Source organism: Homo sapiens, chromosome 7 (genome assembly GCF_000001405.40).
Source record: "Homo sapiens chromosome 7, GRCh38.p14 Primary Assembly".
In the NCBI taxonomy this organism is placed as follows: Eukaryota; Metazoa; Chordata; class Mammalia; order Primates; family Hominidae; genus Homo; species Homo sapiens.
In genome coordinates, this window is record NC_000007.14 from 127,956,562 (window position 1) to 127,983,876 (window position 27,315).

A 27,315-nucleotide genomic window follows, 5' to 3' on the forward strand; every position below is an offset into this window, starting at 1 on the left:
GAGAGGCTCGATGGATGGCCTAGAGCTTCAGCAGATCCCTAAGTCCTGTTTCCTGCACTGCCAATGATTATTATTGGCCTACTGCTGAGTTCTAAGAACAGGGGCAAGCTACAGTTTAGGGCACATTATCTCTTAGTTATCCCAGGCCTGAGTGCTATGGTTGGGATAGTTTGATGATACGTGTTTACACATCTGCACGTGTGCATGTGTGCATAATTTTTTGCTACCTTCTTCCTTGACACTATCTCTTGTTTATTTTATTAGATATTACTTACCACCTTCTATCACATTGTATAATTTACTTGCTTCTTTTACTATCTTTTCCCCCTCTTCAGAATATAAAGTTCATGGAGGCAGAGATTCTTGTCTGTTTCAGTCCCTGTCATATCCTCAGCACCTAGGACACTGCCTAGATCAGAGTGGGCATTTAATCAATAGAGACCGTTTCCCTAAACAGGAAAATATTGAGAGGCCGTCTGAGAAACCTAGTATCTACCAGTCTACTATTCAATGTTCTGTGGCCAGTAGAACAGCAAATTATTAAGTTGCATGATCCTATAGTTCTGTCCCCAGGTCCCCAAGAAGATAGGTCCAAGAACAGTTTTTCTTCAAAGGTATCTTGTTATGTTGTCCCTGCTGCTTCTGAACCATGGGAATAACAAAATGACAGTGTTAGCACCATGTTGGCATCATTTGGAACTAGGAAAGCAGCCCGGTTGGCATTTCACTAACTAGTGTCCTCTCCTGTAGAAGTTCTCAGCATGCTGATGAGAACCTGGCCCTGTGTACGCTATAGCCAGTTAGATGGCCCTATCGTTGTGGGGGTGTTTCTGATGAATTGAAATTCATTCCCTCATCTTGTTCTGCTGCTTCCACAACTGCCATCCTATTGATTCAAAAGAGACTGAGAATATGACCTCCTGAGTTTCAGTGTCTAACATTGTGTTTCTTGGAAGGCTGTTGTTTCTATTCCACTTGTTATGTACCTTTTAAATGGCAAAAAGTTATACCGTTGCCTTGCTAGCCTTGGCTATACAGTACATATTCTGGGTCTTCCAGAGCAGGATTTCTCAGGATTCTTAGACTAAGAATTGTGTGATAATAATGATGGCTGCAGTTATTTTATTTATTTGTTTATGTATTTATTTATTTTTGTGAGATGGAGTTTCGCTCTTGTTGTCCAGGCTGGAGTGCAGTGGCTCAATCTCGGCTCACTGCAACCTCCACCTCCCAGGTTCAAGCAATTCCCCTGCCCCAGCCTCCCAAGTAGCTGGGATTACAGGCGCGAGCCACCACACCCAGCTAATTTTTTGTATTTTTAGTAGAAATGGGGTTTCACCATGTTGGCCAGGCTGGTCTCAAACTCCTTGCCTCAAGCATTCCACCTGCCTCGGCCTCCCAAAGTGCTGGGGTTACAGGCGTGTGCCACTGCCCCCAGCCTAGCCGCAGTTAATTGGGCCGTGATCACCAAGTATTCACCTATTTCTTCAGCTCATGCAGGTGTCCGTGTTGAAGGCTAGGGGGCATGAGGATACAAAGCAAACTATATGAAACAAAAGGCCAGTAGAATCTGCTGAAAGCTAAGTAGTATAGGGCCAACCCAGATCCAAGATTCAGATCAGCCATTGGGAGCTTCTTCCCTGTCAAATCTCACTGGTCCCTGCTACCAGTGAATTAGGATGAATCACTCTTCTGAATTATGTTAGTAGGCACTTAATGTTTACCAATGCTGTTACGTGCTTCATAGTAAATTATCTGATTTAATACATACAACAACCCTATTTTTATTTTCACTGTTACCCTTATTTTGCTGGTGAGGAAACTTTGTCCAGTCGTCTGTGTCCGTATCAACTCTGGAACTATTCAGGGCCTGGACTGCATAGCCATGCATGGTGGCCCTGAGATGCGCAGAACTAGGGCTAGCCTGAGCCACTTTGCTCCACCTTTCAGTGTCAGGATTGGCAGGAATGTTTAAATAGAGTCATGTAAGGCTAGAGTCCGGGTTTCTCACAGGGATTTGAGCTTCTGTGTGAAGGTATGTGAAACCCCTGGATAAATATGACACATCTTAGCTTGACCATTTTACCTCACTTTCATCCATGCTTACGTCCAGAGTGCCTGTCCCTTATGAAACTCTGCCTGCTCCATTTTGAAAGAGGTAAGTGGGGCTCTCCTGCTTTCCCCGCCTCTGTAGAATACATAGAGAGAGGAGAGCTGCAGAAGAGTAAACCACTGGACAACTTTTGGGAGGCATTAGGTATGAGTACCCAAGTAGAAGCACTGACTTCTCTGTCCCCTGAATTTTCTGCACACATAGAAAGTGTCACCTGAGATGAGAGTTGAGGGTACAGGGATGATGAGAGCATGCAGCATGCTGGCGGGTTCACTGATTGCTGCTCTTATTATGGTTCTAAGGCAGTGTTAAATTAGCCAATTAATAAAAATGAACACACCATTGGAAGCTACATTTGTGTGGGGTTTTTTGTTGTTGTTATTAAACTGGCTAATTTAACACCATCCTAGAGTGGTAGTGATGGTAATAGCAGCAGCCCACGAGTTCAGAAGAAGGTGGGGGTGATTCCCTCCCAAGCTTTCCCAGGCATTGCTGTGTGCTCTATGTCTTTACTCTGTGAGGAAACGGGATAAACAATAGCTAGACGTCCGCTGGCAGTCTTGGGACTCTGCAGTGTGCTAGCCAGATCCCTATCATCATGGCTATACCACTTAGGAGTGTTTCCCTGGCAGACTGCATTGCAGTCATTTTTATATACACATTCCTACACATGTAGCTGTCTATGTATGTCTTCATCCCTGGGTACCATTCTATTCTAACAGTGGCTTTCCATTTGACTCAGAGTGCAAGCTGGGTTCTTACTGTGGCCTGGAAGTGTGGCCTGTCTTCCCTGTGTTTTGTTTCCTCTCTCTGACCTCATCTCCTGCTCTTCCCACTTCACTGCCTCTACTCCTGTGTTGGGGCCTTTGCACTCTCTTCTGGATATCCTTAGGTTCAGTCCTTCTACTACTTCAGATCTTTGGTCAAATGCTACTTTCTCAATAAATGTTTCTCCAACCGTCCTCTTTAAAATCGCAAAACTACCCCATTCCCTCTCCCTCTTCCATAGCACTGTCACCATCCAACATGGTATGCATTTTACTGGCTTGTCTGTCTCTCTCCACCAGGATGTTAAATTGCGAGAAGGTGAGGATTTTGGTCTGTTTTGTTCATTGCTATGTATATCTCCCCAGCATGTAGAACAATGCCTGGCACATGGTAGGCACTTGATACATATTTGTTGAATGAATTGGCTCTAGTAGCCATGGTATTCCCCTATGATATGGAAATCTATGTTGTATCAGTTTTCATTTCACTCATTACTGGGTAAACATCACCCAGCAGAAGAGTTCATTGATGTTCCCTCTGGTTCCCCTGTTGCCTCTCGTCTGCTATCTATTCTTGCCCAGGTGGAAAAGAAGGAAGTGGAAACAGATCTGTTCTTCTAGCTGCTGGCCATTCGTCTCTGGAACTTACCGGGTGGCAAGACCAATCTAGCAGCACCTCTGCTTCTGTCGCTGCTTTCCCAGGCTCACATTACAATATCTAGGCCAATATTATCATTGCTGTCACAGACACCCTGTTTTTCTTAAGCTTCTAAAATGGATTCTCATTGCTAATTTCCTAGCACGATGGTGGGCATAGGCAGTACCTAAGACAGATAGTAAGTGCATCGTGTGGGACTACCCGCATTCACTTTATTGGTCCTTCCTCACTAAATGCCATTAGCAGCACACCGTCCCACCCCAGCTATTGCCACAACCAAAAATGACACCCAGCCCACACAAAACGTACACATTAGAAAACACTCTTTGGAGGTTGATACTGTTCCTCCTTGCAGATCTCCAATCTCTGGTAGAAGAAAGCAAGCATTGAATTACAGTCATCTAGAAAAGGGTGGAGTGCAGAAGTTTTGCTGAGCATTGAGTCTCCACCTGAGGTTAAGTAATGATGAATAATTAATAAAGTGCAATCAGCCTGGTTATATGAGGTTCTCCATTCAGCTATATTCTGTAGCCCTAGGCTTATCAGTAGCTGAGAAAATAGACATTAAATCTGTATCCACCATGATTCCTTTGTGTTGATGTAGGAAGAACAAATGGACCAGGTTGCAATCTATATTCAGATCTTCCCTGTGTTGTATTTTAGGAGAGAGATTAGGACCAGACTGAGAGTCTTTAAGGGATTATATCAGGTGCTGCAGTGCTACAGTGAAATTGAAATGAAAACTCAACTTCTGTGAGTTTCAATACTATTCTGCCAGCTGCCCAGAAACATCCTGGGATAAAGCTTAGGGGAATCCCAAGAGAAGTTTGGTCTTGGGAGAAGAATTTTTTAGTACCAAATGTGTCCATTCCTCTCCACCTGGACTTGGGAGGTGTAGGCACATCTCTGGCAGAGGGTGCCTCAAACCCTAACAAAGTCAGCTTTCCTTCTTCCTGCCAAGAGAGGGCATTAATTAAATACAGCCCTATCATTTTGGACAGTGTAAATTCACTCGTATGTGGGTCCACTGTATGTTTTTCCACAGCCCTAGCATTTTATCCTGATTGTTACTAAATGTATAAATAATGTAAAATATATACACACCTGCTTCACAAAATTAAAACTACAATACTTGGTTAACTTAGGAAGATCTAGTTGTAATATATTACATAAGTGTATTTTCTAAAAGAATCAATGAGGATTTTTTTCATACAGTAACTACAAATGGTGTTTACTTACATATTTTCTTCTTTACAAATAAAGCTGTATGATAGTAAGATCTAGATCCAGGCATCTTTATTCCGAGCCACTTGAAAAGCAAGCTGAAACTTGAGAACAGAAGAAACCTTAGGATGATAGCACAACAAATAAAATTAAATTCTTTGATTAAGTGTTTGCCACTGTAAAAAACACGTGCAAAAGCACTCATTTTCAAGAGAGGAGGGAAGAAAGCAGAACCTAAACCCAAAACAACCAAAATTTAAATACTACTTTTGCCATGTGAAATTGTCTAATCAGCCTCATTTTCTTCTATTGCCGTCATCAGCTTCTGTTTGTTCTGATGCTTCATTTTTAGTATCGTTGTGGGCTTATGAAAGCAGAAAGATTGCCTGAGTTGGAACAAGCTTTTCTACCATTTCCTATGTGTCCATTCTCAACCAGAATAAATCAGTGCAAATGCCAGTGTCCACTCCCTCGCCAGACCTTTGAGACCTAGTTGGAAGAAAAAGGGTATATTTTATCAAGCTACGTGAAAATCAACAGGACACCCTCCTGCAACAACAGAGTTGCCCTTTGTTGGCCGAAGCGCCTCTTATCATTACCTGTGAGAGCTGATTGGCCTGAATGCTCTCAGCACCTGCCCTGTGCATCACGTGATCGGATCCTATAAGTATCCTAAGATCATATTGCACAACTCTTAGAAATGAGTGAGAGAATTTAAAGGTAGAACAGCTACATTGGTACACATAATTTATGCCTTTTCTTGAGGTTACTAAAAAGAAAAAGTATTCCAGAGAGTTCTAATATAAAGCTGAGGAACTCTTTGTATAAGGGAGTATGATGTGTTCTCTCTCTGCTTGGAATTGCTGTGCTGGAAGGAAGATGGGGAAAGGGAATGAATATAGTCAAATAAATTAAGCCTTGAAACCCAAATAGTGCTGTGTAAGCAAACTGACTGCAAATCAAACAGAGGAGTGTTAGCAAAAGAATACACGATCTTGGTTGAGGCTGAACAAAACCAGGTTCTTTGTATATACGTATATATTTCTCTGGACGTGTGCAGAGTTGTTGCATTTCTACTCCCTTAATCTCAGACATCTTTGGCAAAATGTGTTATCTGTCCATGAAGAAGAAAACTGAAGAGTGTATTTCCCCCAAATGGCAAAGCGTAGGCTTTATCAAATGTAGACATGCCTGTTGGCAACAGAAAGCAGGATGTGTATGGCTTTTCTGTCTTTAGGAATGCCCATGTTTCCTATGTTTCTTACCATTTTTCTGGCTAGCATATAAATCTGAAAGGTTAGGTTATGGTGTGGGTCATAACCATCAGGCCCAGTCTATTCTCCATCCCCACTCTGCAGGCAGCTCTGACACTATTTCTGGAGCAAGCATTGAAAACTATCCGACTGTCTGGTTTTGTAGATGAGGAAACAGCACAAAGAAATGGAGTGGCATTGTCATAGTTACAGACTGTGTGAGTGGCAAAACAGAGGCTTCATCCACTGGACTTTCAGCTCTACAACTTGCAATCAGGCATAACATGTTCTTAACTTGCCTTTTTGAAATGACACCTCTCTGAGCCAAAGCTTCTCTAAGCATCAGTTCAAATGACTCCATGATCTCTTAGAGTCTGTAAAAAACTTGAGAGTAGAACATATTTTCTTCCTTCTTAGAACCTCAAGTCAAATCAACAATTACTTTATATTTATTGTGATGATCGCATTCTGTTTGATCTATTTTTCTCTAAGTTGTTAAACAGCCTTTGGCTAAAATCATTATGTTCTGACCTGAACAAGGAGATTGGGGCAGCTCTATTCTAAGCTGTGTGAAAATGCAAAGCATGGGCAGGGTGCAGCAAGTTGTTCACTTTGGATGGAATGTGGATGGTGGCTGAGTACCCAGAGATAAGACTAGAGCGGCATATTTCTTTTCTTTTTTTTTTTTTAATTATACTTTAAGTTTTAGGGTACATGTGCACATTGTGCAGGTTAGTTACATATGTATACATGTGCCATGCTGGTGCGCTGCACCCACTAACTCGTCATCTAGCATTAGGTATATCTCCCAATGCTATCCCTCCCCCCTCCCCGCCGCCACCACAGTCCCCAGAGTGTGATATTCCCCTTCCTGTGTCCATGTGATCTCATTGTTCAATTCCCACCTATGAGTGAGAATATGCGGTGTTTGGTTTTTTGTTCTTGCGATAGTTTACTGAGAATGATGGTTTCCAATTTCATCCATGTCCCTACAAAGGACATGAACTCATCATTTTTTATGGCTGCATAGTATTCCATGGTGTATATGTGCCACATTTTCTTAATCCAGTCTATCATTGTTGGACATTTGGGTTGGTTCCAAGTCTTTGCTATTGTGAATAATGCCGCAATAAACATACGTGTGCATGTGTCTTTATAGCAGCATGATTTATAGTCCTTTGGGTATATACCCAGTAATGGGATGGCTGGGTCAAATGGTATTTCTAGTTCTAGATCCCTGAGGAATCGCCACACTGACTTCCACAATGGTTGAACTAGTTTACAGTCCCACCAACAGTGTAAAAGTGTTCCTATTTCTCCACATCCTCTCCAGCACCTGTTGTTTCCTGACTTTTTAATGATTGCCATTCTAACTGGTGTGAGATGATATCTCATAGTGGTTTTGATTTGCATTTCTCTGATGGCCAGTGATGATGAGCATTTTTCCATGTGTGTTTTGGCTGCATAAATGTCTTCTTTTGAGAAGTGTCTGTTCATGTCCTTCGCCCACTTTTTGATGGGGTTGTTTGTTTTTTTCTTGTAAATTTGTTTGAGTTCATTGTAGATTCTGGATATTAGCCCTTTGTCAGATGAGTAGGTTGCAAAAATTTTCTCCCATGTTATAGGTTGCCTGTTCACTCTGATGGTAGTTTCTTTTGCTGTGCAGAAGCTCTTGAGTTTAATTAGATCCCATTTGTCAATTTTGGCTTTTGTTGCCATTGCTTTTGGTGTTTTGGACATGAAGTCCTTGCCCACGCCTATGTCCTGAATGGTAATGCCTAGGTTTTCTTCTAGGGTTTTTATGGTTTTAGGTCTAACGTTTAAATCTTTAATCCATCTTGAATTGATTTTTGTATAAGGTGTAAGGAAGGGATCCAGTTTCAGCTTTCTACATATGGCTAGCCAATTTTCCCAGCACCATTTATTAAATAGGGAATCCTTTCCCCATTGCTTGTTTTTCTCAGGTTTGTCAAAGATCAGATAGTTGTAGGTAAGCGGCGTTATTTCTGAGGGCCCTGTTCTGTTCCATTGATCTATATCTCTGTTTTGGTACCAGTACCATGCTGTTTTGGTTACCGTAGCCTTGTAGTATAGTTTGAAGTCAGGTAGCGTGATGCCTCCAGCTTTGTTCTTTTGGCTTAGGATTGACTTGGCTATGCGGGCTGTTTTTTGGTTCCATATGAACTTTAAAGTAGTTTTTTCCAATTCTGTGAAGAAAGTCATTGGTAGCTTGATGGGGATGGCATTGAATCTGTAAATTACCTTGGGCAGTATGGCCATTTTCACGATATTGATTCTTCCTACCCATGAGCATGGAATGTTCTTCCATTTGTTTGTATCCTCTTTTATTTCCTTGAGCAGTGGTTTGTAGTTCTCCTTGAAGAGGTCCTTCACATCCCTTGTAAGTTAGATTCCTAGGTATTTTATTCTCTTTGAAGCAATTGTGAATGGGAGTTCACTCATGATTTGGCTCTCTGTTTGTCTGTTGTTGGTGTATAGGAATGCTTGTGATTTTTGTACATTGATTTTGTATCCTGAGACTTTGCTGAAGTTGCTTATCAGCTTAAGGAGATTTTGGGCTGAGACGATGGGGTTTTCTAGATAAACAATCATGTCGTCTGCAAACAGGGACAATTTGACTTCCTCTTTTCCTAATTGAATACCCTTTATTTCCTTCTCCTGCCTGATTGCCCTGGCCAGAACTTCCAACACTATGTTGAATAGGAGCGGTGAGAGAGGGCATCCCTGTCTTGTGCCAGTTTTCAAAGGGAATGCTTCCAGTTTTTGCCCATTCAGTATGATATTGGCTGTGGGTTTGCCATAGATAGCTCTTATTATTTTGAAATACGTCCCATCAATACCTAATTTATTGAGAGTTTTTAGCATGAAGGGTTGTTGAATTTTGTCAAAGGCTTTTTCTGCATCTATTGAGATAATCATGTGGCTTTTGTCTTTGGCTCTGTTTATATGCTGGATTACATTTATTGATTTGCATATATTGAACCAGCCTTGCATCCCAGGGATGAAGCCCACTTGATCATGGTGGATAAGCTTTTTGATGTGCTGCTGGATTCGGTTTGCCAGTATTTTATTGAGGATTTTTGCATCAATGTTCATCAAGGATATTGGTCTAAAATTCTCTTTTTTGGTTGTGTCTCTGCCCGGCTTTGGTATCAGAATGATGCTGGCCTCATAAAATGAGTTAGGGAGGATTCCCTCTTTTTCTATTGATTGGAATAGTTTCAGAAGGAATGGTACCAGTTCCTCCTTGTACCTCTGGTAGAATTCGGCTGTGAATCCATCTGGTCCTGGACTCTTTTTGGTTGGTAAACTATTGATTATTGCCACAATTTCAGCTCCTGTTATTGGTCTATTCAGAGATTCAACTTCTTCCTGGTTTAGTCTTGGGAGAGTGTATGTGTCGAGGAATGTATCCATTTCTTCTAGATTTTCTAGTTTATTTGCGTAGAGGTGTTTGTAGTATTCTCTGATGGTAGTTTGTATTTCTGTGGGATCAGTGGTGATATCCCCTTTATCATTTTTTATTGTGTCTATTTGATTCTTCTCTCTTTTTTTCTTTATTAGTCTTGCTAGCGGTCTATCAATTTTGTTGATCCTTTCAAAAGCAGGTCCTGAGTGACCTACAAAGAGCCTTAGACTCCCACACATTAATAATGGGATACTTTAACACCCCACTGTCAACATTAGACAGATCAACGAGACAGAAAGTCAACAAGGATACCCAGGAATTGAACTCAGCTCTGCACCAAGCGGACCTAATAGACATCTACAGAACTCTCCACCCCAGATCAACAGAATATACATTTTTTTCAGCACCACACCACACCTATTCCAAAATTGACCACATAGTTGGAAGTAAAGCTCTCCTCAGCAAACGTAAAAGAACAGAAATTATAACAAACTATCTCTCAGACCACAGTGCAATCAAACTAGAACTCAGGATTAAGAATCTCACTCAAAGCCGCTCAACTACATGGAAACTGAACAACCTGCTCCTGAATGACTACTGGGTACATAACGAAATGAAGGCAGAAATAAAGATGTTCTTTGAAACCAACGAGAACAAAGACACAACATACCAGAATCTCTGGGACACATTCAAAGCAGTGTGTAGAGGGAAATTTATAGCACTAAATGCCCACAAGAGAAAGCAGGAAAGATCCAAAATTGACACCCTAACATCACAATTAAAAGAACTAGAAAAGCAAGAGCAAACACATTCAAAAGCTAGCAGAAGGCAAGAAATAACTAAAATCAGAGCAGAACTGAAGGAAATAGAGACACAAAAAACCCTTCAAAAAATCAATGAATCCAGGAGCTGGTTTTTTGAAAGGATCAACAAAATTGATAGAGCGGCATATTTCTAACGGGGCACTAGTGGCATTTGGGTGGAACATTTCCTCCTTGTGGAGGACTTCCCATGAATTGCAGGATGTTTACCCCTTAGCTTCCCTTCCCAAATCCTGTAGCACCCTTCTGCAATCAGAAACACTGAGAACCTCAGTCAGTCACCCTCGGTTTCCCCCATGCTCCCAGTGGGTGTTGCACAGTCATTAGATCTGTTGGTTGGTTGGTGAGAGTGCTGGAGAAGGCAGAAGGTCGAAACGGAGGCAATACTGAAAGCATAGTTCTCCTGGTTTAGGAGCTAGCACTCTCTTTCTCAGTAGGATCAGTATTTATTGACATGGAATCCAGAGAGAAAACTCTCATGCCACCTTGATGCTTCATGCACAAGTTCGTGGCAGGGATGGGGGTGGTGGGAAAAAATGTGTTTGCTGAAATCACGATGGAGCAAATCAGCAAGGAATGTAATTTCTGCTTTCATGTAACTATCACTTGTTGCCATCCATGCTGTATCTTTCAGGGAGCATGAATAACTATGGCTTGATGTACTCCCTTCCTGATTTCCCAGCTGTTGTCTGTTCTTCATGCTTCACAAACTTCAGCCAGAAACATGTCCTAAGATCTAGGAGATGCAAGCCTTTTCTTCCTACTCAGCACCCTACCCTTGCTGGCTTATCCTCACTCCTGCCATGCTCTTTAGAATCCAAAGTATTCTCTAATTGTGTTGTATATATTTATCCATATTCAGTTTTTCTCGATATACCCTGCTTTTACATTAGTATACGGTTACTGTGCATTTGCCAGGAAACTATAGTTGCTAAAAAATATTTCCAAGAGATATCTGTTGACGTTGGTGAGGTCATTAGCTCTCTCATCACCAGTGTGGCCACCTTTAAGCCCTGGCTCGGACCATGATTAAATATGCTAAAACTCATCAGGAAGATTATCCTCTGTAAGTATTAATTTATATAATAACACGTACTTCTCAGGGTGTTTTACTCTATGTATTTCCCCCTGGATGCTTATTACAATGCTGTGGGGTAGGAAGGGTTGCTCTTACCTCCATTTAACAAGTGAGAACACTAAGGCTCTGCGAGGTTATTAATTGGCCAGGGTCACACAGCTTTAATTAGGGATGGACCTGGCACTTACCACTCCACCATTTCCTCTCTCTCCTTTTCAGGGACTGAGGGAGAAGACCAATTTGATTTGTCCTCTTTAGATGTCAGAACAATGTTGCTTTTTTTCAAAGAATATTTTAAGCTTTTCAGTTTCAATCTTCCATTGAGACAAGTTCTTTATCCTTCTGCTGGCAAATTGTGACCTCCTGTCAATCAAATATCTCTGTCCCCTTTCAATGACTCTACATTGGGTTTTGAAATTTGTCTCAGTAACACAGAGATCTGCAGTCTGTGTTGTCTGATATATGTATGTAATGTTGGGAAAAGCCATTTCCACAATAGTAGGAAGTTAAAAGATTTTTGTAAAGTGGGGATGAATTATAAAATAGTCCACTTTTTACTCTTCTAGCTCCCATTGAGTTTCTTTTTGTAAGGTTTGATTAGACATCGACAGAGGGAAGAAGAATGCTGGGATAATGGTTCTCAGATCACAATTTAAATTAAAACCAAATCTGGTTGATATTGTGAAATGTTATGTTCATATAGTTTGCACACAGAGTCTGAATAATTACCTTTTTCGATGTCTAAGAAATTATAACAGAACTTGTTGGAGGAAAGAGCACACAGGATGCAATTGTGTTTCACAAAGCCAGTTCCTTTTCTGGCTTAGAATCAAGAGTAGCAGGAAGACTGGCTTGTGCTCTCCCAAGCATAACACAACAGATCCAACATCTCCTGAACTGGGCTGTGGTTCTCAGAAGAAAATCAAGGGCCCTGGCAGGGCACATATAGTTTGTTTTTGCCCCCAACTCCCCAAATCCTTGGCTTCCTTCTATTGTAAACATCTGGAGCAGAATCAGCAACCGCCCCCACAGTTGTGCTTGAGGTATGGTCCTCTGGGCAGCTTTTACTCAGTCTTTACGACTCAACTCCATCCAGAGTTGCCTCCTGCACGTCCTTCTCTACCTCCTCTGTGTTCACCCACCATCTTTTGCTGCCTCTGCTATTGCCTAGTCCACTACCTAGTAACTGTTCCTTTGCCTGGAGTTTTGACACTGGCAACACAGTGGAAGTAAATAGTTGGTGGTGGGTAGGTGGGTTCTGAGTCCTGAGGAAGAGGATTACAGTAGAATGTACATTTCTCTGGTTAGTCATTACGGGTGCCTTGAACCTGGGAAGGGAGGAAGGTATACCGAGCTGCTTCCACCACATGTCCAAGCAGAACCAGCTAGCCCGCTTTCTGTCCCCTCAAACACTAGTGCAGTAACGTGCTGTATGGGAAGAAGTAAATGATTTAATATACAGATGCCTGGTTTCTGATCCTGGCTCCATTCGCTCGTATACAAAATGAGAAAGTTATACAATAAGAACTCCAGCTTTAGGCTGGGCGCAGTGACTCACGCCTGTAATCCCAGCACTTTGGGAGGCCGAGGCGGGCAGATCACGAGGTCAGGAGATCGAGACCAGCCTGGCTAACATGGTGAAATCCCGTCTCTACTAAAAATACAAGAATTAGCCAGGCATGGTGGCGGGCACGTGTAGTCCTAGCTACTTACTCGGGAGGCTGAGGCAGGAGAATAGTGTGAACCCGGGAGGCGGAGCTTGCAGTGAGCTGAGATCGCACCACTGCATTCCATCCTGGGCAGCAGAGCAAGACTCCGTCTCAAAAACAAAACAAAACAAAAAAAACTCCAGCTTTGTAAATTCAGTGATATATTCCTTTTTGAGGGATGCACTTTACTGTATTCATTTCACATGTGAATTTTAGAATCACAGGAACAGTCTCAAATTCTGGATATGCCCTTTATAATCCCCGTGATCTAGGACAACTTGCTTAACCTATCTTTGCCTTAGTTTATCTTCTATAAATTAGAGTTTCTCTAAGTATTACCTAGCATGATGCCTTTATTTAAAAAGTGCTTGATCCAGTGCCCTACGCAGCAGAAGGGTAATTTCACATTGTAGTCATTATTGTTATGTGAGTTTCTTCTCCAGTAGTCTATATAGTCACTTGTTGTACTTTAAAAAACTTTTAATTGTATGTGAACCTAGTTTTGATAATACAGCTATTTCCTATGTTTTTTTAAAGTCTATCATAGTCTATCAGATTATCTGTTCACTTGGGAAAAGACATCTAAAAACAGAATTCCTTTGGATAAATCAGGTAACCTAAGTAATATAAAGTTCATTCAACCTGAACTGACAGGATACAGTGGAAAGAACAACTGCCCATCAAAAGATAGGGTTTATAAGCTGCATTTTATTGCCAAGTTGCCATGTGACCTTGTGTAAGTCATTGAACTTCTCTTATTTCCAGTAACGTCCTCTGTAAAAATAAGGAGTTTGGACTCGATTTCTAAGGTTCTTTCTCCAGCTATAACATTTTGTGATTCTGTGAATGCTTAGGTGATACATGAAGATGTCTTTGCTGTCACTGTCTTTTCCTTTTTAGGCAGGGAAACTAGGAAAGATAGGCAGTGTGATTTTCTTTCTCAAGTTTTTTTTTAAGTTCTGCGTGTCACAGAATGGTAGTCAAACACATATTTTCTAGGTCCTTTATACATGAACTTGTATGAAAGTATATCACAGTCTCTCATTTTCTGTTGAGCACTTGCTGTTAATCCCTTTTCAATTTTATCTTGGTAACTTTAACCCCTGATTCTTGCCTGATTGAGTTTGTATGTTTGTCCTCTCATGTGATATGTATATTAAATACATACATCTGCAATGCCTTCACCTCAGCTGTTAATAAAAATCCTGATTAGGGCCAGGTATGGTGGCTCATGCCTATAATCCCAGCACTTTGGGAGGCCTGGGTGAGAGGATCACTTGAGCCCAGGAGTTTGAGACCAGCCTGGGCAACAAAGCGAGACCCTGTCTCTATAAATAAATAAATAAATAAATGTTTTAAAAAATAAAAATCCTGATAAGGCCCCAGTGTGGATTGCCATCACCTGATCGTCTTTACAGGACCACAAAAGCAGTGAATTCAAATACTCAGATTTATTCATTCTTTCAACAATCTTTAATGAGCTTCTTCCCAGCCCCAAGCCACCCTTTGCAGACTGATTGTTTTGCTGGAGTTCAGCACAGAGTTATTTCGATGTCACTTTTCCCTGTGGCTCAGTTTCTTTGCTGTTGGGGTGGTCACCAACCATTTTACAAATCTTAGAAGGCTATAGGCTTTCTCCCTAGAAAATGCCAGATAGATGAAGAAAGAAAAAGGTTTGTAACCAGCAAAGGAAGGAGAGAGGGCTGTGAAAAAGCATCGTTATTCAGAAGGATAAATAGTTTATTATGGCTGTCATGTCTGCTAGAAGAGGGACAGTGGTTAAAGGTAAGTTTGGAAAGTCAGATATCCCAGTCTTAGAAGGGCCTTGTGTCTGTGCAAGGTTGTTTAGATTGTACCACATAGATCAGTTGTTGGTGACGCTGAGTCTTAGACATTCTCAGTAAATAATGAATCTGAAGAGTACAAGGTAATCTTCTCTTCAGAAAATACATACAAAGATGTTCATATAATTTCACTGGGTTTACAAACACCAGCCTCTCTCCCCTAAGCCCATTCTTGACCCCTAGTTTAGGAACTCCTAAGGTAAGTTATCAGAAGCAATGAAAGATAGGTGATACATTGTCATTAAAATAAATTTAAATGTGACTTATATACAATAAAGTACACAAGTCGTAAGTATACAGCTTGCTGAATTAATTTTTTTTTTTTTTTTTTTGATTCGGAGTCTCACTCTGTCGCCCAGGCTGGAGTGCAGTGGTGCGATCTCAGCTCACTGCAACCTCTGCCTCCTGGGTTCAAGCAATTCTCCTGCCTCAGCCTCCCAAGTAACTGGGATTACAGGTGCATGCCACCACGCCCAGCTAACTTTTTTGTTTTTTTAGTAGAGACCAGGTTTCACCGTGTTGCCCAGGCTGGTCTCGAACTCCTGAGCTCAGACAGTCCACCCGCCTCGGCCTCCCAAAGTGCTAGGATTATAGGCGTGAGCCACCACGCCTGGCCAGCTTGATGAATTTTTATATATGAATGTAATTTCAAGTAAACACCATACATGAAGATATGAAGTATTTCTAACACTCCACAGGACCCTCCTGGTGCTCCCCTCAAAGATAACCAGTATCCTTTCCGACCTCGGTCATCATAGATTAGTTTTGTCTAGTTTTTAGGTTTTTTGCAGGGGGCGGTGAGGGGGGTTGTTTTGTTTTGTTGAGACAGAGCCTTGCACTGTCACCAAGCTGGAGTGCAGTGGCACAATCTTGGCTCACTGCAACCTCTGCCTCCCAAGCTCAAGTGATCCTCCTGCCTCAGCCTCCCAAGTAGCTGGGACTATAGGTTCATGTCACACCATGCTAATTTTTATATTTTTTATAGAGACGGGTTTCGCCATGTTGGCCAGGCTGGTCTCAAGCTCCTGGGATCAAGTGATCCCCTGTCTTGGCCTCATGAAGTGCTGGGATTACAGGTGTGAGCCACAGCACCTGGCCCTATCTTTGAACTTCAGAAATGGAATCACAATCTTAGTTTACCTTTTTTTCTTGAGACAGAGTCTTGCTCTGTCACCCAGGGGCCCAATCTCTGCTCGCCGCAACCTCTGCCCTCTGGGTTCAAGCAATTATCCTACCTCAGCCTCCCTAGTGGCTGGGATTACAGGTATGCACTATCACACCTGGCTAATTTTTGTATTTTTAGTAGAGACAGGGTTTCACCGTGTTGGCCAAGCTGGTCTCGAACTCTTGACCTCAAGAGATCCACCTGTCTTGGCCTCCCAAAGTGTTGGGATTACAGGCATGAGCCACCGCACCTGGCCATTTTACCCAACTGTTGTCTATGAGATTCATCCATGTTACTGGATGTAGCAGAAAGTCATCTTTTTTCATTGCATTATGTAATTTTCAAAGATCCCTTTGACTGCTGTATGGAGACAAGATTGGAGAGGGCCCAAATGAGGTGAGGAAGTCTGGCTGGGAGGTGGTTGCCATGTGTCTGAGAAGAGGTGTGCAGCCTGCCTAGGCCGCAGAGTGGGAATGAAGAGGAAGGAGCAGCCCTGTTTAAGGAGGCTTTAAACCTGGTTGGTGCTTTGATAGTAGAGCATGAGGAAGAGAGAGGTCAGTTTTCTGGCTTGTTAATAACACAAGGTTTGATGAGGTCAGTTTTGACAACTTGGATGTTAGATGACTGTGAGTGTTTGCAGGTCCAGATGAATTCAATAGAAATGTCAGAAATGGAGATTAAAACTTTGAGAGTCATCAGCTTATAGTGGAATTGGAAGCACAGAGAGCAAATGATTGCCTAGGGACTGGATTTGGAGTGGGAAGCAGCTAAGAACAGACCATTGTGATGTTCGGAGGCTTCTGAACTGTCAGAAAAGAGGATCTGACAGCAGAGGCTTAGATTGAGAAGAGGTAGGAAGGGCACTAGGAGGAAGGGCAAACAAAGCAGCCAAGCCAAGGGCAGAGGAGTGGGTTAGAACTGTCAAATGTCAATGATTTGGGAAGAGGAGGCTTTGAAGCTACCTGAGGTGAGGTGGTCTCTAACATCTCTCCTCTTCCCAGCCACACCCATTCACTGCTCCTGTTCACCAACCTCATTCTTTTGGTTCTGCTCTACCTATAGCTTTGTACTGTGTCATATCTATGTGTGTGCCTATCTTCCACAATGACCTGTGTGGATTCTTGAAGGAGAGACACCATATTACTCCCCCTTCTCATTCCTTTCCAAAATTTAGCAGAGCTGACCTTTTATGTATTAAGTGGTCACTATGTCCAAATTGCCTTTGTTTCTAAAGCAGCCCTGAATTGAGTGGCCTTCCCTGGCCTGACCACCTGAACCTCTGTGGGGGCTGTCTTGCTAAGGAAGCTTGTGTACAGCCTGGCTATGTTTCTGCCTTTTGTCAGGGGACAGGGAGGTTGAAAACCCAGCTCTGCAGAGTCTCAGTAGCAGCAGACAGTACTGCCTCTCTGGGAGTGCTACTGTCTTCCAGCAAGCTAGGTGGCTTCTTCACTTACATAAGATGTGTGTGTTCTGGCAGGGAAGAGCTGCCTGAGTGAGTGTTTAGCAAAAATGATTTGTGTGGAGTTATTTTGAGACCCCAGGGAAGGGAATGGCAGCCAAAGCCTGCAGTATTTTAAACCACATCACTCATCCACAAAGATTTAATACGATACAGCATCTCAGCTAGAATATTGGTGAAGAGAAGTAAGAATGTTAGGGTCCCATCAGATTATAAATGCCCGTTATCTCCATCCACGCAAGGTGAATTTGGAGTGGTTTGGATCAAACTTGGTACTTGAAGATTCGTTCATGCTCCTTCTTTGATCTTGTCTGCCCTGGAAATACCAAATAGAAGACAGAGTTGCTTGCTGGGGGGTTGGCCTGGGCTCCCTTTGGAGCAGCGATTTCATTGCCCTCTCTCATTCACTACCTCGGGAGCCATTTGGTTTCCAAGGAGATACAGAAATGAGCCCACTTTTTATGCCGGTCCAAAATACTGACATTATTTAGGTGATTGAGCTTCTTCAGATTCCAGGCTGTCTAGGAGAATTCCCCTTCCAAAGCATTCACCTTTCCTCCTGACTCAGGCATGAACAGCTGTCTGCTAAGGGTGGGTGAATTCAAGAATATAGGATTTTCCAGTTTAGTGACATTAGGGGAGACAGCCTCCATATGAAACACTTCTCTTGTTTTTGTTTTTCTCTTGGCTGTTAGGCTGTGAAATTTGCCTCACCGCTCCCCCGCCCTTTTGCTGACAGCTGTCCTCTTTGCCATTCAGGAGCTGGTGTCTCCCTAGGATGGTTGACTGAGAAAGAAAAGGCCATCTTCCTTTGTCCCCTGGGTCTTGAGTTGTATTGCTGAAGAGCATCTTGTGTCAGGAGATCTAATTGCCTTCAGACCTGGGGGGATCCATTTGGGCCAGAGAGTGTCCAGGCACTTTGTGAATTGCAGAGGGAGTTACCCAAAGAGAAAAAGCCCTATTTGTGACTGGCCACTTGATTTTGTTTGTTTTGTTTTATATTTTTAGAGGACATACAATTTCTTTAATGATAAAAACTATGAAAACCAAAATACATTGTTACACAAAAGAGGCACACACAAACCATACAGCTTTTCAGACTCCCCAAATTTCCCTACAAGGACGTGCAGCGCATCGTTTTTCCATTAATTTAGGTGTTTTTGAGCAGGCCACTTGTTTACACCCCAGTATTGAGTTGAGTGTAGTAGGGAGACACTCAGGAGAAGCATTACTTGTGTTTGTATGTGTGGGCGCGCGCGCATGTGCGCACGCGCGTGTGTATGTGAGAGATTGACTCCCCTCGTGTGTGTGTGTGTGTGTGTAAGAGAGATTGACTCCCCTCGTGTGTGTGTGTGTGTGTGTGTGTGTGTGTGTGTAAGAGAGATTGACTCCCCTCTGCTTGCACCCCAGAGCAGCCAGCAATCAGAGTAAAAGGCTTCAGCTAAGTTTCTTTCTGCTTGTGATACTACACAAGAATGGCCTGACAGAGAGCAGGATTAAGATATGGTGGAGAGGGAACAAGGAACCAAAGTGAGTGAAAAGGCACAAACAAGCCAGCATCTACCAAAGTCGGCAGGATGGACAAAGGGAGCAGAGCAGGCAGCCAGCCTGGGGCTTTGGAAGACATGTGAAGGGTGTGAGGCTGGCAGATCACTACAGAAGGGGTGGCTCCTCTCTTTTGCCCTGGCATGAGACTTTCTTCTGTGCGCTGTAGCGCCGAGCACGCTACCCCGTTCTTCTCTCTGCTCCACTCCACTCTGACACCCCCACAGAGGTGCTCATGGCTGTTAGTAGGCAGGTCCGGCTCCATTCAGCATTCTTCCTACGTTCTTCCCAAATACCAGTTTCTGATTTGGGTCATTGTGACAGTTGCTATGTCCCACCATGGGCTTATACATGAGAGTTCAGCCCTCAGAGATGGCCACTGTGGTTTCCTTAGCCCCTCCTCCACCCTGTTCTCCTTTCCTCTCTTATTCCCCACCCTATTTCCTTGGGTGAGTGAGCACAGACAAGTGCACAAGCTCACACACACCCCTTGGCTGTCACAGGCACCAGGAACCCTGGTCGGGGAATGTGCTTTGTGGAGAGCTGTGTTCAGGAAGTTTACTCCTCCTCTCCGTAATCAGTCCTCGCCACTCCCTCCCCTGCCCCACCCTTATTAGAAATCCTGATTTCTGGCAAGCTTCCCATCCTGGTGCTGTCCTTCTTTTGTGCGGAGCACACTGGAGCAGCTTTCCTCTCCCTGGAAGACAGGCACAGCCTGATGGCACAAGTTAATACCTCCTGCATGGCTGCAAAAATAAAGACCAGATGCGGGTCTGTTGGGTACCTGATTTTCTCCCTCACTGCCCTCCTTCTTTTCAACTGAAGCTTTGTGTCCAGCATGACAGTTGAAATCCTGGTGCTTTGGTGCACTGTTGCCACACTGTGACAGGGGCTAAAAAGCTTCCGTTGAGTGCACTGCTGTGCCTTCCCTGTCCACTGGCCACAGTGGTGACTGAAATACTCATGTCTGCAATGTTGCATCAGTGGAAAGTAAAGGATGCAGAAGTCCTTTTCTTTCCCTCAGGTCTCCCAACCAGGGAAAATCATCACTTCAGTAGAACAATCTTTCCCTGAATTCTGCAAAGTGAATTCTGGGCAGTGGTTTGGATTTGCTGTTCCTTTTTATCCCTTAAAGCCCAGTGAATGAGAGAAGGAAATGAATAGACTGCTTGTCACAACACCACCAGGGTCTCCACAGTGCCTGGGGCTGCTGCTGAGAGACAGAGAATGAAAGCTGGAATGGAGGCCGTGGAGGCAGGAAACCTTTGCTGGGACAGGCTCCACCTCCCCTACATGGTGTCTTGAGGGCTTCCCATTTCCTTCAGTCTGGGGATTCCGCCCGCACTAATGGAGCTGTCTCTTGCTGCAGCATGCTTCCTGGAGGAAAAGTCCAACTCTGCCTGGCCACACAGAGAGAAGACTGATATGCAGTCTCTCCACACCCCTCCCCCGTTTATCCAACAAAGCAGCACATTTCACTGCGAACGCTTCCGGAGTCGGCTCTCAACAGTGCAGAAAAAGGGATGCTCCCTGTTGCACACTCCACCACCCCCATTGGACGTTTTTAATTAAATCAACTAGAAAGATATTTTCAGTTTGAAGATTCACTTCATCTTATGTAGGTTTAAAGAAGAAAGAAAAAGAGTAGAATGGTAAGAAATCAAAATTCACGTCTCATGAGGACCTTAGAAATGTTCAACCCAGAGAAAATAAGACTTGAGAATGAGAAGAAATAGATGTTGCAAGTCTCTTCAAATATTTGAAAAGGTGTCAAATGGGTAATGCATGTTTTATATGGTCCGAAGGAATTGGACCAGATCTTAGAAGGCCTAGGATGTCAGATTGTGGAGTTCTGATTTTGTTTGGAAGCAAATAAAAAAAAAAGAAAATAAGAAGCAGAACATTGTGTTTTAGGAAGATTAATCTGGTAGCTGATTAATCTGGTAGTAGATTAAGCTGGTAGTGTGTATAAAGAATAGTATGGTATAAAGAATAGTATGGTATAAAGTATAAAGAATAGTAGATTAAGCTGGTAGTGTGTATAAAGAATAAGTATAGGGAAAAATCGAGGGCAGGCACAGGTAGATCGATCAGAAGATTCTTGGCCACAAGTGACAAGAGCCTGACAAACAGAGGTATGCTGAAGATTCAGAGGAATAACTATAGAAGGGAAAATAATGGAATCAAGAGGATGTAGCAATCACTGGGTTATGTGGATAGAGTAGGGAAGAAGATAAGAGAGGTTTTCAGCCCAAGAGGATGGTCATGCTGGAGCCAGAATGGGGAACTCTGGAAGAGGAGGAGGTAGGTGGCAGAGGTTTAGGAGGAAGAAGATGAGTTTGGTTTTAAGACATGTTGAGTTTGAGGTCTTGGCAGGACATCCAAGGGGAGACGTGGGCAGTTGTTAGATGTTTGGCAATTGGGTATAGAGCCAGGATTACATGTCTGAGTTCTGCATGATCACAGTGAATGGAGAAGGTGAGAATGGATAGACCTGCCAAAGGATAGTGCAGAGAGAAAAAAAGGGCCCAGTGCATGACTGAGGGCAACAGTAAGAAACAAAACAAGCAGCCAGAGAGATAGGACACCTAGAAGACAGAAGCATCAAGGAAGAAAGGATCTCACTAAGGGGTTGGCGCTCAGTGGTAAATACCATAGAACAATCTAGTAGGACTTCTAACTATCATTTAGTTGAAAGATAAAGTCTAAGGACAACATCTTAGGAGCAAAGGACTTCTTCACAAGAAATGTAATGGTGAGCAGATTGGTCAGGAAGTGGAGAGAAGCAGTTATAATGAAGAACAGAGTGGCAACTCTGGCATTTTCAAGGTTTGAGCTTATGGAAAGTATGCTTTGAATGGGGAAATATGCATCTGTGGGAGGACAGTGGGAATAAAATAGAATGATCAGACGTACAGGAAAGTGGACATTCATAGAACAGGGCTCAGGAGAGAAAGGTTAAGGGCACATACCTGTGGTTAATGTCAGCTGCCTCTGGCCATTTCCCCTAAGCCATGTTTTCATTCCTTTTACCTTCTAGGTCACATGACCATAAGGTTTTTTAAATATTATTTTTATTTATTATAATTTAACATTTTATGCTGTCACCTGTACTGATAACTAAACATCAGGTTTAGTTACCCTGTACTATCAGGTTCAAGCGATTCTCCTGCGTCAGCCTGCCGAGTAGCTGGGATTACAGGCGCACACCACCACGCCTGGCCAATTTTTGTATTTTTAGTAGAGGTGGGGTTTCACCATGTTGGCCAGGCTGGTCTTGAACTCCTGACCTCAGGTGATCCACCCACCTCAGCCTCCCAAAGTGCTGGGATTACAGACGTGAGCCACCACACCTGGCCGCCTGTATTTTTTTTTAAACCACCATGCAACATGCTTCAGAGCGTGTTGGCGAGCTTTTTCTAGAAAGGGGCAAATAGTAAATATCTTAGTCTTTGTGGGCCTTATGATCTTTGTTACAAATATTCATGGTACAACTCTAGCCCTGTACTATGAAAGCAGTCATAGACAGCAAATACATGTGGCCATGTTCTAATAAGACTTCATTTATTGACACTGAAATTTGAATTTCATAGTCTTCACATTGTTGGAAATAAATTTTCAGTGTGGCAAAAGAAACAGCACTCGAACATAAATTTTCTCAGCAAGGCAATTTTACTTCTGTAGAAGGGTGCGACTCACGGATGGAGCAATGGCGAGAGCACACTTGAACGAGGGAGGGGAAGGGGCAGGTAGCCCCTATTGCTGTGTCGTTTCCCTATCGGCTAGGGTTGGACCACACACTCTAAGCTAATTCTGATTGGCTCTTTTAAAGAGAGCAGGGGTACGAGCTGGAGTGGCAGGGTGAGTAGTTTGGCAGGAAGGGCAGTTACAGAACAGGTGACTCTGGATGAATAAGAACAGAGCAGGTGACCAAGGATGACTAAGATCAGAGCAGGTGATAGAGGCTAGGAGGGGGTTGTTTACTGAAACTAGGGGCAAGGAGACATAAAGAACGAGGAAGTTAAACTTTAAAATGAAGAACAAAGAACAGGGGAGCTGAACATACTGATATATTGGTTCTTTGGAAAGGACCTCAGAACTCATTGTACTTAACAATTTACAGGCTAAAACCTTTGAAGAGGAATTTATTATATCCTATAACATGTCACAAATATTCTTCTTCTGATTTTTGTCTTAACCATTCAAAAATGTAAAAATCATTCTTAGCTCATGAGCTCTGTAAAATCAGTGGGCAGACTTAGTCTTCAGGAAGTTGTCTGTTGTTCCCTGCTTTAGAGTATGGTAACTAAAAAATAAATAGATGAATAAGGCAAATGCCATTCTTGACCCACAGCTGGCCCAGGATTCAAGCTACTCAGGATAGGATATATGTAGCTTGGCCTGTGCTCTTGGAGAACCTTGACTTTTCACAATTCCTTTCCCTTTTTGCTTGCTTTATTTTATTTTATTTTATTCTTTTTCTTTTTTTTTTTTTTTTTTTTTGAGACGGAGTCTCGCTCTGTCGCCCAGGCTGGAGTGCAGTGGCGCAATCTCGGCTCACTGCATGCTCCGCCTCCCGGGTTCACGCCATTCTCCTGCCTCAGCCTCCCAAGTAGCTGGGACTACAGGCGCCCGCCACTACGCCCGGCTAATTTTTTTTTTTTTTGTATTTTTAGTAGAGACGGGGTTTCACCGTTTTAGCCGGGATGGTCTCGATCTCCTGACCTCGTGATCCGCCCGCCTCGGCCTCCCAAAGTGCTGGGATTACAGGCGTGAGCCACCGCGCCCGGCCTCTTTTTCTTTAAAGTAAAGTTAGTGAGGTGAAGGACTCTTGCTAAGAGTTTCTCAGCCCAGAGGTTTTTTTTATTCATGCTCTTTGGTTCTTAAGTCTTAATATTCCTGACACTAGCTGGTTTTTCCTCCTCATCCTACTGTAGGCTAAGTATACTAATCTCTAGACATTTGGAATTCACTTGCCTCAGGAGGAGGAGCTCAGAGCAATTTTATTTGAGTGAAAGCTCAAAAAAGGCAATAGTTTAGAAGTACACTCCACACATCTCAGAACCATTTTGTTCAAATAAAACAGCTTGGTCTAGAAAAAGTCACTCTAAATTTATGCAAGTAAGTAGCTTTTACATTTGGCTGCCAGGTGTGTGCCAGAATACCTCATGGAAGTGGAGACTTGCAAGATCCATAGGGGTATTTCCTGTGGCTTTCTCTTCACCTTGTAGCAAATCTCTAGCAACCTGGACAGTAGATTCAAATTTTTCTCTTTATCAATTAACATGGAATAAAAAAGACCAAGAATAGGAACCTTTGGTGCCAAAAATCAAAAGGGAGGAAAATATGTTTTATTTGATTTAAAGATAAAGTCCTATTGCTTTAAAATAAGTCAGAAGAAATAAAAGTTGAGGTTCTCATAGAAACCAACTCCTCCTCCTTGCTCAGACGTAGCATTTGTGCCTGTTAGATGCTGTCTGCACAGTGCCACTGTGTTACATAAAAGCTTGAGCCATGTAGGAGCTTTCTTGTCATTCAGAACACTGCAGCTCTAGCTTTTGACCTCAGATACTTTGTTTTCTGTGAATTTGTTAATGAAGGTATGAGGTTGTTGTTTTGGTATGGATAATAAAGAGAAACCCAGGAAAAAAAAAAAATTTTTGAAAGGCACAGGTCTCTCCCATGCCCAGTTGTTCTTTCTGCTAGTAGCTGATGGTGACATTATTGCAGCTGCTGCTTATAGCAATCCCCAAAAATGAACATGGGCATTGGGAAGCGGACAGCCTGCGATCTCCAGTCCCCTTCCCAAACACACCTCCAGAGACAGCCTGGTGAGGTGGGTTACAGCCTGCTCTTGGGATGCCACAGAAAGGGAAAGGCCTCGTTAATCAGTGAGAGGGTTTTTTTTTTCTCCCCTTAAAAATCATTGTTTTCAGATCTTGCTTTGCAATGGGGAGAATTATAAAAGGTTATTCCCATGCTGGCCTGATTGTTATCTTCTGTACCAGCTCCATCTAAAAATGCTTTTTTCCCATTTGGGAGAGATTGTGTGGTGTCTAAAGCTAACAATAAATCAAATTCAGTGAAGCTGGTTTTGTACATTGCCTGGCTAGACTGAGAGCAAGATATTCAGTATAAGGCCTCTAAGTCATCCCTTCCTTGCCTCTTCCACTGGCTGTGGTCAATGATTGAGCATTTAACCACACACTCACCTTTAAGTCCTGAGAATAAGTAGTACTAGAATTCCTCATCAATACTCCACAGGTTAACTCATATGCATCCAGAACTCTTGGAAAAGCAGGTTGTTGTAACAGGTTTGGTGTATCTGTTATTGCTAGATTTTCTCCTCTCTGGCATTCATGTAGCAAACTGAATTATTGAGCATCTTCTGTTTGCCAGATACCGGGGATGTAGAGAGAAGTGGCATATCCCTTACCTCAAATGACTGTAGAAGAGGGATCTACCATTAACAGGCGAACAACTATTATGACTTGTATCAGAAACTTAAGGCATGTTTAACAGCCAAGCACCGCACTTCCTGTCTGTAGATGCTTCTCTTCTCTTCCCCTTCCTTTCTTCAAAGAGAGCTGCAGTTTCCATTGCATTGTGAAGACTTGGTTTTCTTGTTCCAATTCCAAATTAACTTCAGTGCCTGGTCTTTCAACAAATGCATCAAACATTACAAAATCCGAACAACCTAATAAAAGTCTATCCTAAAAAATTGGAGCTGTGACTAAAAACAGCTTCAGTCTCAGCTTCTGCCCAGTTCTGACTCCCCTGACTACAATTAGGTATTTGATCCCTTTAATTAGGATCCCTTCATTCTTCTTTTATCCCTTTATTCTGATCATTGAAAGAGCTTTAGCAGTGACATGTTCCAAAATTGGTCCACAAGATCCTACCTCCCCTGAGGTAACAAAGTAGGAGTTTAGAGAACAAGGGAGAGAATAAAGAATTTGAGAGAATGCAAAATCTTTGTTTTACTTCTAAACCTTTTAGTACAAACTGTAGCCTCATATCATGAAGAACGAACTCTTGGGAACCAACTGGTCTGCCATTTCCCTTTTTCTTTGGGCCATTTTAGGAATGTGGAAATATACGCCCTAAGTGAGATGGTGTGCAGTTTTCAATAGTGAACTGATTCATTGACATCGTTTGCAACCTGAGCCATCCAAATTCTTTCTACTTTAAAGCTTATGAGCAAGAAGTACAAGTTTTTGGTGTATGAGCTATTACAGGTCTGAGAAGCAATGGCATGAACTGATTTGGCTTTGTATGTTATTTAAGTGATAACTACATTCCTTAAAATTAGGCAGATGGTCTGTCTGACTCTACCTTTCATGTTGATGGTTAAAAGTTCTTGATTTTGTTCTTGATACTTAAGGAGGGAATACCTGTCTATATATTGTTGGCGCTGAAGAATTTTTGAAATCGGCCTGGACAAACTTAAAAGTGTTGCTTTTCTCAGCCTTTATACGGAGTTTAAGTATCTTACAGTCTATGTGTAGTGGGGCTTTTTACAATTTTGTTTTGTTTTTTGGTGGGAAGAAGGGTGGTATGGGAAAGTATAGAAATGGAACTAATTGAGTCTAGGGGTAAAAAACTGCTGGGAGCCTGTGGATTATAAATCGAGTAGCTGCAGCAGCAGGTACTCAGGCAGAGGTATGGGAGTGCAGTCAGTGGGACAGGAAGCTTGTTTTGGTGTTCTGTGTCTTGTCCTTGACAATGACTCCAGGGGACCAAGTGCAGTCTATAGAAAGGAGAGGTGTCCATAGTTTCCTATCTGGAAAACTTTTACAGCATTCCTGCCTGGGGTCTTAAAGACTAGAAAGGAAGATGAAAACTAGATGAGATACTCTTGCCTCCTGTTCCTCTCCCCACTGTCCACCCCCTACATCTGCACTGAGCACCCCTTTATCTGCTAGCTAGGTATGTGGCTAGGGAGATAAACCCTGTTTTGTTGTGAAAGTTCCATCAAAACTGCCATTTTGTCTCCCCCATCGTTTGATCAACAAAAATTGTGTTGAAATTTCAGGGAGCATTATTTAAAGCAGAGGTATTGAATATTCAATATTCAATAATATTGAATATTATTAATTTGCCTAAATATATAAAATGAAATCACAATTCACTGGCCTGGGCTCCTCACTGTAAGCAGAGGAGTGGACTTAGTGACCATCTTTCAGCTTTAAGACTGAATAACATTTTCCCTTCCATTGGGAAACTTATTTATATCCCAGTAGTCATCC

General features: G+C 42.6%; 1 protein-coding gene across 2 annotated transcripts in view, besides 3 other annotated features; it reads left to right on the forward strand.

Annotated features, from left to right (window-relative positions):
• SND1 (staphylococcal nuclease and tudor domain containing 1) overlaps positions 1–27,315 on the forward strand; it is a 440,400-nt gene that overhangs the window by 304,368 nt on the left and 108,717 nt on the right. The window lies entirely within an intron of this gene.
• Positions 3,321–3,521: a silencer, noted in NCBI's record as "peak6714 fragment used in MPRA reporter construct". NCBI's record gives its function as "represses an SCP1 promoter by STARR-seq MPRAs in K562 erythroleukemia cells {active_cell/tissue: K562}" and the evidence as "EXISTENCE:reporter gene assay evidence [ECO:0000049][PMID:32103011]".
• Positions 3,418–3,497: an enhancer, noted in NCBI's record as "active region_26591". NCBI's record gives its function as "activates an Ori minimal core promoter by ATAC-STARR-seq in GM12878 lymphoblastoid cells {active_cell/tissue: GM12878}" and the evidence as "EXISTENCE:reporter gene assay evidence [ECO:0000049][PMID:35858748]".
• Positions 3,508–3,567: an enhancer, noted in NCBI's record as "active region_26592". NCBI's record gives its function as "activates an Ori minimal core promoter by ATAC-STARR-seq in GM12878 lymphoblastoid cells {active_cell/tissue: GM12878}" and the evidence as "EXISTENCE:reporter gene assay evidence [ECO:0000049][PMID:35858748]".